The following is a 14,141-nucleotide window of genomic DNA, read 5'->3' on the forward strand; positions in this document are numbered from 1 at the left end:
AATTTATTTTCATAGGGTGATGCAACCTATACATCTAACGTGTCTTGGGTTTGTATCTTTGATATTTCTGTACCAATAATACTGTTTCATGAAAGACAGAGCTTTACTTAATTATAAAGTAAAAAACCTTATCAAATAATGTAGTGAAACTGCCTATAGTCTTTTAGATCTTAACATAACTAAACCACTGTGTGGACTTTTCCTGGGATTGAAGATGTGCCCATAAAATATAATCAGACTGTCTTCTGTGTTCTACTAACATGAATCACATTACATTATAGCCACACACTATAACTCTCAACCTCTGCTAGTCCCAAATGAAGCCGCTGGTAGTTGCTAACTGTCTGCTGAGGCATGATCATAAAGTTTCAGTCACAGTCCCTTTGCAACTTGTAAGAAGCCATTTCACCTTCTTCCTGCAGAACCTATTGGTATATGAGTTACACTGCTAATGCGTAGAGGGATTGACTCCTCCTTCCCCTATGGGAACATGGTAGGCCATTCCAGTACAACATCATAAAAGGAAACTCATTCCCAATCCACAATGTGAAGACACAGGCAGACATTCTACCTGTGTCTTTTGCAGAACACCTTCTTGGGGAAATGGTGCAGTCTGTACAGTGTGTCCATTCAGCTGGGTTCTTTTACTTTGCTGAAAAAAAACTAAGTACACTAATCTTCCTGGTGACTTGGCAGGTGGTTAGAAACATTAACGTGTAGAGGGTGCCCTGGCCGTTTTTCTCAGGAAGTCAGAGCCTCAGTGGATAGCGCAAATATCCATTAGTAAGACTGAGTTGCAAGCACAGATCCAATTGCTTTGAAAAAATCATCATTGGTTTCTTTTCTTTCTACGATTCATTTTACTTATTTTCCAAAATAGGATTTGTAGGAACAGCATTTACCCCAATTATTCAAGTACCAATACCACAACTTTTCTTCTTAATAGCATCATGGGCCTTCTGTCTCTATAAACCTATTTGTTCCTATAGAACCTATTTTCAATTTCATTTAGAAAAGAAATGTATGCTTACAGATACATCCTTCACTCCTTTAAAGTAAAATAAATTGGGGTTGCTTTGGGGAAAAAGAAGTGCTGCTGTTCTCATCACAAGGCCCTGAGTTGTTGAGGAAGTAGCACCTAGACCCTTTCCCCCAAAGACAAAAGGTCACAGCAAGAGTTTCCTCCATACTTAATTAGGTGATCTCAAAAAGTATTTGATGTTAATAAAGATGTAAAATACAGATCTTTTGACATAATGGAATTTTATATTTTCTTTGATCACAGGGAGTGTACATCTAGGGAAAGTTGAAATAGAGGAGACATTTTGCTATTGCCCTTTCTATCTGAAGGCTCATATTAGCTTAACAATATAAAAACAGATCTTTTTGTATAATTATATAAAATAGAATTCTCAAGTGTTTAGACAATATATTCTAATATGCTAATTAAATTTACTCTATTTTCAAATTGCTATAATGAAATGGCAAGCCCCAAAATTTTAACTTCTTAGATTTTGCTAGTTTGTCAGTATCAAGGAAAGATATAACAACAAAAGAAATCATTAATGTTATAGACTCATTATGCTTGTAGAACTTAGTGAAATCTGCAAAATGCTTTTTCCACGTAGTTACTTTTATGAAAATGGGTGCTTTTTGTTAGACTTGACAGAAGGTATAATTAGCTCTTTCTGCTTCTTCTGGGTCTGTATTTCTCAAAATAAACCCATCTTCATGGGTCTTTGAAAATGATTGGATTGAGTCAAGCTTCTCTATTCTTTTTGATGTTCATTTAGTTATTAATTTGCATAATTACAAACAAATTATCATGCTAAAAAAACTGGAAGAACACAAGGCTTGAAAAAAGTAAGAGACATTAAGAAGTTCTGTTCCTAGAGCCATGCTGTTGTAGACGTATGTTAGGGTAACTTCATTTTTGCCTAGCTTCTTCACAGATCTTAACAACACAGAATAAGGAATAAGGTTACATCTTCTGCTAGGAGCTTTTTCTTGGACTTGTTCTTTTTCCTTTGCTCCTGGGTATCTACTTAGGCATGGAAAGGAGGAAACTGTTCACCTCTTCAGGAATGAGTGGAGGCCACTTAGTTTCTCACTCTTTGAGAAGGACAGTACACCTTATGTACCTACCACTAGATGGATACCAGATGGGGAGCCAAGAGCTCAGTCAAACTTGCTTACCCTTGGGTGAATATCAGTGCCCTCTAGGGATATTGGTACAACATTCTGTAGCATTTGAAATTTATTCTTTTTCCTCAGAGTACAAATTACAATAATCTAATAGCAATTCAACGTATAGCAGTGTTTAAAAACATTGGGAGAGATTGTTGGAACTTCAATGAAGTCAGTACTTTAGGTTGGGGTTCATTTTGTGAATCTTTTACCATAAACACTTTGTATCATCATTCTAACACTGTAAACAAATAACCCCCACCGTCATAGTTTCTTTTTTGTTGTTGTTTTTGAGATCAAGAAAGAAGTTTTCATTTCTTCCCTGAATTCCTTTTCCTTCCCTTCCTCAAAATGTGGGCCTTTCATTTCTACATAAGGGATTATGATAATAAGAAATAGTATCATCAAGTCTATATGCTAAGTACCTCACAAATGCATGTTGAATGCATCACTTATTGACTTTAGGTGTTAAAAATATTAATTCAAAATATCTTGTTGATGGGATTCTAGCTAGTATACTATATTCATGATATATCTTTGATATTTTAAAAACTTGCATAGCATTCTTCCCTAAACCACTTTTACTGGTTAAATTCATTTGAAATCAACATGTAGAATGCTAGCACGGAAGAGCCGTGAAGAAATTTGACATTATTCAACTGTAAAGGGCCTTGTACTTTACTTTTCCTGAGACTTAACAACACTTGATCAAAGGTAGCCCTTCCTGTCTCCTTCAGTGCTCCCTCAGCCTCTGTCCCAGCAGTTTACCAGCGAAGATACTGAGACTGAAATTAGTTAAGACTTATTTACGTGATTTCTTACTTGAACCAGTAATGAATTTTGGCCATAACGCAACAGTCCTACCACGCCAATCTCTTACAACCAACTCCCCTAGTTGCTCGTAGATACATTCATTAGTGCAATTACAAATTATTACCTTTTCAGTTTTCCTCATTTTCCTTATTTTAAAGAAAACACAAGTTATCATTTTTTGTCATAATTAATAACTGCCCTGTGATGCCATGTTTGTGCAGATAACCTTGCAATGCTTAGATCCAAGCCAGATCTGTTTTATTAATTTTCTTCCTTCTTATTTGGATTTTATATAAGGATTTAAAATGTCATCTCTCCCAGTGAAAAGGACTGATGGCCATAAAAACTCAGAGGGACACTGAAAGAGGGAGGGAGGTCTGTATAATTCAGTATAACAGCAACTCTTTATGATACCCTTAACAGGAAAACTGCACTGTCTCAAAGTCTTCCTACATGTCCTTGTAACGTCTCATGGAACATACGTTACCAAAAAATAAGCCCAAATCAGTTTTTTTTAGTAAGATTTGGATAGTGCTTTCTACTATGTTATGTATTGTCAAAAATGAGTGGCACCCCTTTTCTTGTGCTTTTAACTGGTTTCCATTTGGTTAAGAAGATCTCAGTGTTCATAAATAATATTTCTTAGGAAGGCTAATGGACAGTTTTCTTTTTTTTTTTACATCAAAACCATTTTCTATTCTACCACCCAATGAGGTCGAACCAGCCACCACTAACAGAAACTGCAAATACCATACACTCACTCTCCTAGCTTTCCTAATGTCTAGGATCCAGGTGTGCAGAAAAGACTATACTGATCATCTCCATCTTGGGCTTTGCATAAGAGGTTAGTGACATGAGAAGCAGGGACCATAGACAATCAATTTTGATAATGGCTGGTGGCAGGAGATTACTCCAATTTCAAGAAATTTATAAGTATTTCAGAAGCAACATCCAGTACACACTATTGATAGCATTGTCAGTGAATGTGTCTGGGGCCGGTGGCAGCAACCAGAGTAAGTTTACCAGATGTCTCTGCAACTATATTCTGTACTGTTACTGGATACAAATCCTCCTAGTCTTATTCTCCAGTTTCCTGGAGATTTCTTGAGATACACTCTCCACCCCTGCCACCCATTGCCTCTTCAATAAATTCCCTTTTCTGTTTAAATCAGTCAGACTCCAATGCTTGAAACTGGGAGCTGTGACTGATATAAAGATAAATTATCTACAAATCTTAATGTTTTTTACTGTCAAAATGGGAATCATACAACAGTATCTTTTAGGCAAAGAAGAATCGTGGAAAGAATTGTGTAATAGATTAAATCATTATAAACTGACTGTTCACTAGGTATGAGTTCATGAAAGACGAAGTGTAAATAAATTGGATAGGTGATCACAAACCCGCTCTCTGGCTATATCTCTACAGAATATTTCCACATGTCAGGAGCCAGAATGGTTTGGAAGTGTCACAATACATACAGGCTCCTTTTTCCTTCTCTCTTTGAGTAACCCCCTAAATCTACACCTTCTCTGGTGGAGAAAAAAAAATGTACATATTGGGAGATTTGCTTCTTCTTTAGTTTCTGGACTTAATTCTACAATGAAATTCTCTGGTAAAATTCATTGATGTAGCTGAACTCTAGTTTTACTCAGTCTTTTGGAGGGCCTTGCTTACTACCAAATCCTGAATTACTAGGAAAATGTCTGACACAAGTGTGCAATAAATATTTGTTAAGTAAAGATACCAAACACTTTGGTATTTGTAGCACTGGTGAGCCAGGTTTTTAAAAATATACTAACTTATTTCTTCTTCACAACAACCTTCTGAGATAGGCAGTATTATTATTTGGTTTTTTGAACAAGAAATGGATGCATGAGAGGTCTAAGTAACTTTTCCAAGAAAAGTGAGCAAATGTGATACTAACCCAGGAAGGCTGACTCTAGAGGCTGGGCCTTAGATTTATTTACTTTTCTAAGGAGCTGATAATCATTAGGCACCCACCATATGTCAGGCACGAAAGATTCAATTATGTGTATGACATTATTTTGCACTCAAGGAGCTCACTCTATTAGAGAGACAGATCGAGAACAAATATTACAAGTGCAATGTGTCCAATTCTATGATAGAAAATATAAATGAGGCTCATTGGAACCCCAGGAAGTTGTGATAAAATTTAGTTCAGGTGAAAGATGATTAAGAAAGACATCTGATGAGGGAGAATGTTTCAGCTGAAACTTGAAATAATTTTTCATGCCTATAGAATGCATTCTATGCAAAGGGACAATTTGTGTAAAAGGTAAAACAGCATGATATATTTGTGAGTGTAGTGAGGAATAATTGAGGCATAAAGCTGGAGATTTTGGCAAAGGCCAGATAATAAATAAAATTTTATGTCATGTTAAAGAATTTTTACTTTCTTCTAAGGCAATCAAGAGCCATTGAAGCAACTTAAACAGGAGAGTAAGATGAATAGGTATGTCTTTAACACAGATTATTCTGGCTGTATAAGATTGATACAAAGCAGGTTAAGGTGAGATGGAAGAAGATAAATTAGGAGACTACTGAAATAGTCCAGATTAAATATATGAGGACTTAAATGGGCCTGAAGTTCTAGGGTAAAGAGGGCACAGACTCAAGGGTCATTTAAATAACAATAGATAGCATTGGTAGGACATAGAAATCAGTTGGATATTGGTGAGGAAGGGATGGTAATCAAGAGGTAGAGTTCTGTTTCTCGATTTTGGTTGGTATTAGTTAGCATAGGACACATGTTACCTCTGTTTTTCTTTTTCTTTAGAATATTTTATTTTTTTTGTAAACTTTTTATCTGTAATTTCATTTCCCTGTAAGACTCTAAGTTTCAGCCTTTTGTTGGACATTTATGTTTATTTATATCCTAGTGTCTCTGGTTTTAAGATTATTTGTGTCTATGTTGGATTGAAATATTATATACATATATATCTTTAATATACATCTACGTAAAACTTCTGAAATGCATTCTTTATTGTGAATTGAATGTCTTTATGTAAGCTGCATTTTTAGTTTGTCAAATAAATATTGTTATTTATATGACTAATATGTTTGACGACTCAGTTGAGAGTGCATCTTTTATATGTTCTTTTTATGAATCTTCAGAATTTTGGGCCTCTGGAATATAGCTCTATAAATAATACTTTTAGAGCAGGAGGAGACAGAGTTCTAGCAGCTAAAACTAGCATTGCTTATTCAGAATCCTCCCTTTTTTGACAGCAAAATTTTGTACTTTTAAGCCAATTATTTTCTTTATTAAAAATGATTCTTTGCTCTTTCTAGCTAAATATTACCAAAGCATAATCGTTTTGAGTCAAAGAAGAGTTAAAATTAATGGAATGATAACACTTCTCTCAGAAATTTATGCAATATATCTGCATAATTCATGCTTTGGTATATATTTGGCATTCTTGTTTCAAGGGAATTTCAAGCTAACTGAGCCTTTTTATATCATTAATTATATATATATATATTTACATATATTGCATAGATAGAGATATGATCACAGGAATGTATTAAACAATACTGACAATGCCTAGCCCAATGCCGTTGAGATAACCAATGTTCAATAACTATTGTTTGAATAAATAAATGCATGAGTGAAGCTCTACAAGGTCACTCTTGTTTAAAAATTTAGTGCTTTCAAAGAAAAAAGTCACTACATTAAAATGTTTTGAATGTTTTAACATTATCAGTTTAAGAGCTAATAATCCAACTAGCATACTCTCATAACTTTAGGCAGAGTTACTATTGAATTAAGTAAAACTGGAGCCTTTACTTCTGAGCATATTGAGTCACACAAAGAATTAGGACTTGGAATTGCCTTAACTCTTCTTTTCCCTTAATGTTATTTTCCTATTTTTATAAATAAAAAATGAAGATAAATAATTGTCTTTCAGTGTCATCATAAATATCTCAACATAGTTATTCAATGTCATAGTAATTCTGCCCAATGCATCCCACTACAGTTTCTATATGATCCTTGACAACATGTCAAATCCATTAACTCAGTGAATAACAATTCACAAAACAACATAGAAACGAGTTTGTTTAGCATCATGAATATCTTTTTCTTTTCCTATGTTGAAAGAATCCTTACCTCTGTGTATGTGTTTGCTCTCTTTGTACACAGATTTTTTATTTTAGATTCAGGAGGGTACATGTGCATGTTTGTTACATGGATATATTGCATAATGGTGGGATCTGGGCTTCTAGTGTATTTATTGCTTTCTTGGTACAGACTTCTTCTTGCTCTGATGGTGTCAGCTACCCTTTACAGCATCACAGAACTGCACATATTTTTCCATAGATGTTCTGATCTATGAACATCTGTGAAGAGACTCCTCTTTCTGAGTGCACTTTGTAAAGTGATTGATATATTATTGCTAGTGTGAAAGGGATGACCAACCAAAATGACAACAACAAAAAAAATCATAGGTTTATATGGAAGAATTTGGAATCTCAATTTTGAAAGCAGATTAAAAATTATAAAATTTTCACACTACTAAAAAAAAGTGACTACTGTATTTACCCATGTATTTACTCCTTGACATTTTATTGGCTATCTACTGTGTACCTGGAAGCTAATCATTGGGATTTGAGGATGCATGTGATAGACAGAGTTCTGTTAAAGGAGAGAATCATATTAGCAAATGATGACTATGAAATGTGATAGGTAGATAATACAGATGTGTGCTAATATCACAGGAATAGAAAAAGCAAGAATAGTGCACCCTGTATAGAAGTCAGGAAAGGTTTCAAAAAGAAAGTAATTTTTGAGCTAAGTCTTTAAGAGGGTATAATGAATGTGGAAAAGCCTTTACATAAAGCTCACACCTTAGAGATGTCAAGTTGCATATTGTAATTTTTAAGAGAAAATTAATAAAAATAAAAAGAGAAACCTCAGGGCAAAAGGAAAAAATTCAATGTTTGAATTTTAATGTATCTAAATCCAGACAATCACAATGGTCACCCACAAATTGCTATGCTCATCACTTAAAAGAAAAAATGAACTGATTATTCTTTCAAAGCTTGAATCCACTGACATTTTTGCTCACATGAACAGCCTGTTTTTGGTATTGTTTATGTCTGTTTGACAAAGATGTAAATAACATTAATATATCATAACTGTTTCTAGTTTTATTAAAAATGAGATTAGTAAAAATGCTGTATTACTGGCATTGAACATGAACTTCCGTTTTTTCCACTCTAGTGAGACAGTTACCCTCTACTATTCTGCCAGTCTTTCCCCATAGGTTTTTCTATTGGATATACTTCCAAGAGTCACAATAATAGTGAGTCGCCATAAAAAAAAAAGTTTTTTTAAAGCCTGTCCTTTTTCCTTACTCATTGCACTAGAATGAGTTTGCAATTTTATTGGGAAATTTACAATGTCTTTCCCTATAATGATATAAGAATGAAAAGTTGAATAGGCAGGATACGAACTGCTTCCTGTGCAGGAGAAATCTCCTTAGAAGATGTGCATATCAACAATAGATTTTTGTGATATAGTTGGTTAATATATAAGCTGACATCAGACTGATGTGAGCTATGCAAACACCATAATATTGTCTTGCTGTTGTACTGCATTTTCTTTTTTAGATTTCAAAGTTAGAGCATATACATCATCTCTTTTTCTTTCCTTTAATGCCTCATGAGATGAAAGACATGAGTTTAAGTGTGACTTCATGATTTTTCCCAAGATTATAACATACCTAGTAAAGGAAAGAGTTAGGACTAATCTCCCATTCCTGAATACTGGTTAATTGACCTGTGAACAAAATAACATTTGTCTCTTGCAGACTGGTCTATATTTAAATTTAATTTTCAGCAACCAATTTTATGAATTATTGGTGTGAATTTATGAATGGTGACCCGAACAGAGTTGTTTATAACATTTTATTTAATTTGATTTCTGCCTGAGCATTACGATGATCCAGCTTTCTACCTAACCCTATACTCTATAGACACCAACAATTAGAAAGTCAGATTTTAAATCCAAACTAAACTAGTTGCAAAATATGCAACAGTAAATGGTAGAAACAAAAGCTTGGGATATTTTAAGGAATATTTTATGTAAGTTACAGTAACTAGAGGGCAGTAAAATTGATGCATTGATGCTAACATACCAAACTAGTATGGCAATTACAGTTCTATTTGGAAATAGCACATAAATGCTGAAGTAGAAACTTACGACTTTAAACAAAATTTATGTACATTTGTACTGTTTATTTTGTGTCATCTCCTACAAGAAAACATATTTACAGATGATAGGCATAGATTGTTTTTACTCAAGTAGATACATATTAACTACAAAGTGTTTGTCCCAGAAAATAACTTTTAAAATATGTGTCAAAATTACATTTATTTACAGTTTTTCTATTCCAAATATTTTGCATTTTTCTCAACACAGAGATTTATGTCACTAACTCTACTCTTTCAGATTGGTGGCAGGTATCTGAAACTCAAATTTCCATGGGTACCAGACAAGTTTTGTTGCTTTTTTTTTTAAATGTCATCTTGCTCTTAAATATTAGCAAGTGATAGTGATGGTGGCCAACTACAAGGTATATGCCCAACTAAAAGCCAGACTCTGCCATGTTAAAATATGAACACAGTGTTACCATGTCTTCAGAGTTTTTAAAAGCAGAAAAAATTTTTTATTTTTGTAGATGTTACCTAATTCGAAACTTTAAAATCACTGTGTGGGCCAAATAAAGCACATCCCCAGGCCTCAGCGGGCATGTAGGCCTCTAGGCGGAGACATGATTCTATAGAAATGATCACGGTGCCCCTCATAGGGACCTTGGTTCTGATCAGGTGCACATTCTCCTTTGCTACTTCACTGTTTAATTGGTACTTCCTATTTCTCAGTGTGTGCATAAGAAAGCCATAGAATATTCCCACTATATGCCTAATAGATGGAAAGACTTGTCACAGAGGTAAAGAGCTGTCATTAGTGCCCATGCATTTTTTTTATATCTGCAGTTGTCAATGATTGTTATTGCTGTCTCTAGCATAATGCTATTGGTAGCCTCAAATAAAACTTGATTATGCAAGGCACCTTGTTATATGGAATTCTGATTCTTTGAACTTGAAGGAATGAATATGGATCCTTCTCAAGAAACTAAAGCACTTTGTTCATTGTTCTATCCTCAGTTTTGAGAACATTCCTCGCAAGTAGGTGTTTGAATAGAATTAATGTATCAGTGAAAGTTTGCTATCTTATTCATGTATGCATTCCTCACTTATTCATTATGTGAACTTTTCCTTAGCACAAACTGTGTGTTAAACATATTATCAAATATCACTTGAAATATGTGGATTATTAACTATGCCTAGGAAGCATTCTGCTTGGAAAAAAAATTACAGTGGTCTTCAATTTAATGAGATACAATCTACATTTAAACGTGTAAGTCCATATTTTGTCTTTGGCTTTTTGTAGGACTTCTAGGAAGGCCTCAACATTTTTTTCTTAATTCTCCTTCCTAGAAAAGCATAAGATCAGATTTTACTATAACATCTCTAACTACATGACTAACTGCTCCTTGGTTGATGAGATTTTAAACCCTGTACACCAAATACCCTTGAGGGAAAAAGTCTCATACATCTACTGGCATTAATTTTATACCAATTATTAGTTTAAGATATTGGGATTTGATAGTGTAAAGTGTTTTAACTTACTGCAAAAAACGTTTTAGTATACTATTTTAATTAATAATGATAATATACCCATGCTCACTTGACTATTCTATACTAAGACAAATTTTTAAAAGTCAAATCTCAAAAATAATATTTATTATTCATTTGGATATCAAGATAAAAGTGAAGTCCCACCTTCAGGCACATTCAAAAACATGTTATTGTAAAGAGTCATCTGTCTGTATCCTTATTTTTGAATGTTAAGATTTTTAGCAGTATGCTAACTGCTTCATCATATCAATCAATCAATCAATCAATCAATCATATACTTGTGTCAGAATCATATTCTGTAGTAAAAGCAGGACTGGATCACCAAAATTAATAGGAGCTCCAAGTTTGCAATTCATTCAGGTTCAACTGTTCTAACTTAACCAAAATTAAGAGTAGTTCCACATGTGAAGATAGGGAGACATAAACTAGCATAATAATTTATATTGGTTACATTTAATGGTTATATTCTTCAACTGAACTCTGGATATGTCATTGTACTGGATGGCCAATTTGAAGACTAGTATGTCTTTTTGTAACATAAAAATGTGGCTTGTAAACAACAAAAAAAATACATATATATTTTTTCAGGCTCATCTTTCTCATACTGGGTAATACATCATTAACATTTTTGCTTGCTAAGTGTAGCAGGCAGAATAATGGTCTCCAGATATAACTATGTCCCAATCCCCAGAATTTGTGAATACATTAAATTACATGGCAAAGGAGAATTAAGTTGCAGATGGAATTAAGGCTGCTAATTAGATGATTTTATGACAATGAGATAATATTTGCTTATCTGGGTTGGTCCAATGTAATCATAAGGGTCCTTAAAAGTGGAAGACAGTGTCAGTTAGATGGCAGTGTGAGAAGTTCTCAGTCTGATAGAGGCAAGGGCTGTTAGCCCAGGGAAGTGGGCAGCCTCTAGAAGCTGCAAAAGGCAAGGGAATGGATTGTCCCCTCCAGCCTGCAGAACAGAATGCATGCTATCTGATACCTGCCAACACCCAGGAAGACTCATTCAGGGCTTCTGACCTATAGAAGTATAAGATCCTAAGATTATGCCATTTTAAGCCACTAAACTTGTGGTAATTTGTTATAGCAGCCAAGAAAACTAATATACTAAAGAATCTCATTTTTTTTCAGAAATTGTCACTGAAATTGCACAAATAAAAAAAGTTAAAATTTTTACTTTTCTTAAGGCATTGTCTGTCTGTCTGTGTGCTTTCAGGAGGCAATTCATAGCAGCCAGGTTGGCACTTCAAGAAGCAGCCAGGAAATGGCAAGAAATGAACAAGAAGGGTCCAAAGTACAGAAAATTGATGTTCATGGAACAGAAATGGTAACTATTTAGAAAGGCAGTACTTTCAAACAGTTTCCAGGACTGTATGGAAATTATGACTTTGTTGTAAGCATTTGCATTTATTGTCACTCATGTATCTAGTATCAATACCTATCAGTGTTTCTTTCTCCACTTTCAAGTTGGAATTCTTTTAAAAGTAAAATAGGGCCAGGCGCGGTGGCTTGCACCTGTAATCCCAACACTTTGGGAGGCCGAGGCAGGCAGATCATGAGGTCAGGTGTTCAAGAGCAGTGTGGCCAACATAGTGAAACCCTGTCTCTACTAAAAATACAAAAAAAGTTAGCCAGGTGTGCTGGTATGTGCCTGTAATCCCAGCTACTCGGGGGGCTGAGGCAGGAGAATCACGTGAACCCGGGAGGCGGAGGTTGCAGTGAGCCGAGTTCGCGCCATTGCACTCCAGCCCGGGTGACAGTGCAAGACTCCTTCTCAATAAATAAATAAATGAATGTAAAATAGGCACCCTATAAAAGTATGATTCCTCTTCGGATGTCAATTCAAATATATTCTTTTATAAGCGAATCTATGTATTAAAATAAATGATAGCAGCTTAATTAGCATCTCTCAATGTACACTAAAGTCTTGGGTGAAAATCACTGTAAAATGAAGAGTATTATTTGTAGTACTAAAATAATTGACTTCTTAAAAACAATTTATTTTCAAATTCTCTTTAAATACAGGTCTCTCATCTTGAAAAGCACACCGAGGAAGTAAACCAAGCATCTCAGTTTCATCAATATGTTCAAGAAACTGGTAAGAGTCTGGTATTATTGGTTCCAATACTCCTTTCTCCTATTGATGTGTTTGATTTTGAATGGATGACTTCCAAAGCACAGTCCTCCCCTCTGAGTAACTTTAGTAACTATGACTCATGGTTCCAGGGAGAGCTGAGTAGTATTTCTACAAATAATTAGATTTTGCCTGTGGTCATAGGTGCAATAAGTTTCTAAAATAGTTTATTGGCCATCAGTCCTATGATATATCCATTCTAAACCCTAAAGCTAACCACCTCTGAATTCCTTTTTGCCTCAGGGACCTACAGTAAAACTTAATGTTTATCAAGCTCCCTGAGAATAGAGTTGTTATCTAGACTGAATTAATTTTAATAACAGATTTAAGTACTATTAAGTCTGGCTCTCCAACCTGTAGATATGAGATTAGACTACAGCCAAATTTCTGCAAGTTTGCACAAGACTGGACATAGTTTGTCTTGTCTATAAAAATGGAATGGGTTTTGCTACCCTGAAGAGCTAAAAAAAAAACATTTAAGCCAACTGTGACCGAAACTTTACTTGATTACATGACTATATCTTTATTTTGATTTTGTTGCTTAAGGAAGTAGGTCTTCTGAAATTCCTTTTCTTGTTTTATACATTTTATTATTTTTTCCTGAGCATAAAAGTAGAACATACTTGTAGAAAATTTGGAAAATCCAGAGATAACCAACATTTTTCTTCCTGTATTGTCTTACTATAGTTCTTCCTATATTCCTAAATTACATAATGAAATAATGCCATATGCATGCTTGTACCTTGAATCTTTTTACTTAATGTACACTGTGAGAAGTTTCCCATAGCATTATAATTTTATCTTTTTTAATAATTTCTGTAGAGACAGGGTCTGGCTATGTTGCCCAGGCTGGTCTCACACCCTTGGGCTCAAGTAATCTTCGCACCTCAGTCTCCCAAAGTATTGGGATTACAGGAATGAGCCACCATGCCCAGCCATAATTTCTTCTTAAACATAATTTTTAGTAATTACATAGTAACCCTGGTGTGTTTTTCTGTTTGTAGTCATTGATACACCTGAGGATGAAGAGATTCCAAAGGTTTCGACTAAGTTGTTAAAAGAGCAGTTTGAAAAGTCTGCCCAGGAAAAGATCCTTTATTCTGACAAAGAGATGACAACCCCAGCCAAGCAGATTAAGGTAAAGTCATTTCTTTACACAGAAACATACTAAGTGTAAGACCAAGCTTAAATGTGTAACATTTTCAAATTATTGAATACTTGAGGTGGCTTTTCAACAAAAAAAAATTCTGAACTGGCATTTATTCAGTTCTG

At 34.5% G+C, this 14,141-nt stretch overlaps 1 protein-coding gene across 6 annotated transcripts in view; it reads left to right on the forward strand.

The window, feature by feature from the left end:
• Positions 1-14,141, forward strand: part of XIRP2 (xin actin binding repeat containing 2) — a 371,274-nt gene that overhangs the window by 339,424 nt on the left and 17,709 nt on the right. For all 6 annotated transcript variants that reach the window (NM_001199143.2, NM_152381.6, NM_001079810.4 and 3 more), the window contains 3 exons: positions 11,952-12,062; positions 12,761-12,833; positions 13,874-14,007. In NM_001199143.2, the coding sequence (NP_001186072.1) occupies positions 11,952-12,062; positions 12,761-12,833; positions 13,874-14,007 (318 nt within the window). The remainder of the gene's footprint in view (positions 1-11,951; positions 12,063-12,760; positions 12,834-13,873; positions 14,008-14,141) is intronic.

This window comes from Homo sapiens, chromosome 2 (assembly GCF_000001405.40).
Source record: "Homo sapiens chromosome 2, GRCh38.p14 Primary Assembly".
Classification (NCBI taxonomy): domain Eukaryota; kingdom Metazoa; phylum Chordata; class Mammalia; order Primates; family Hominidae; genus Homo; species Homo sapiens.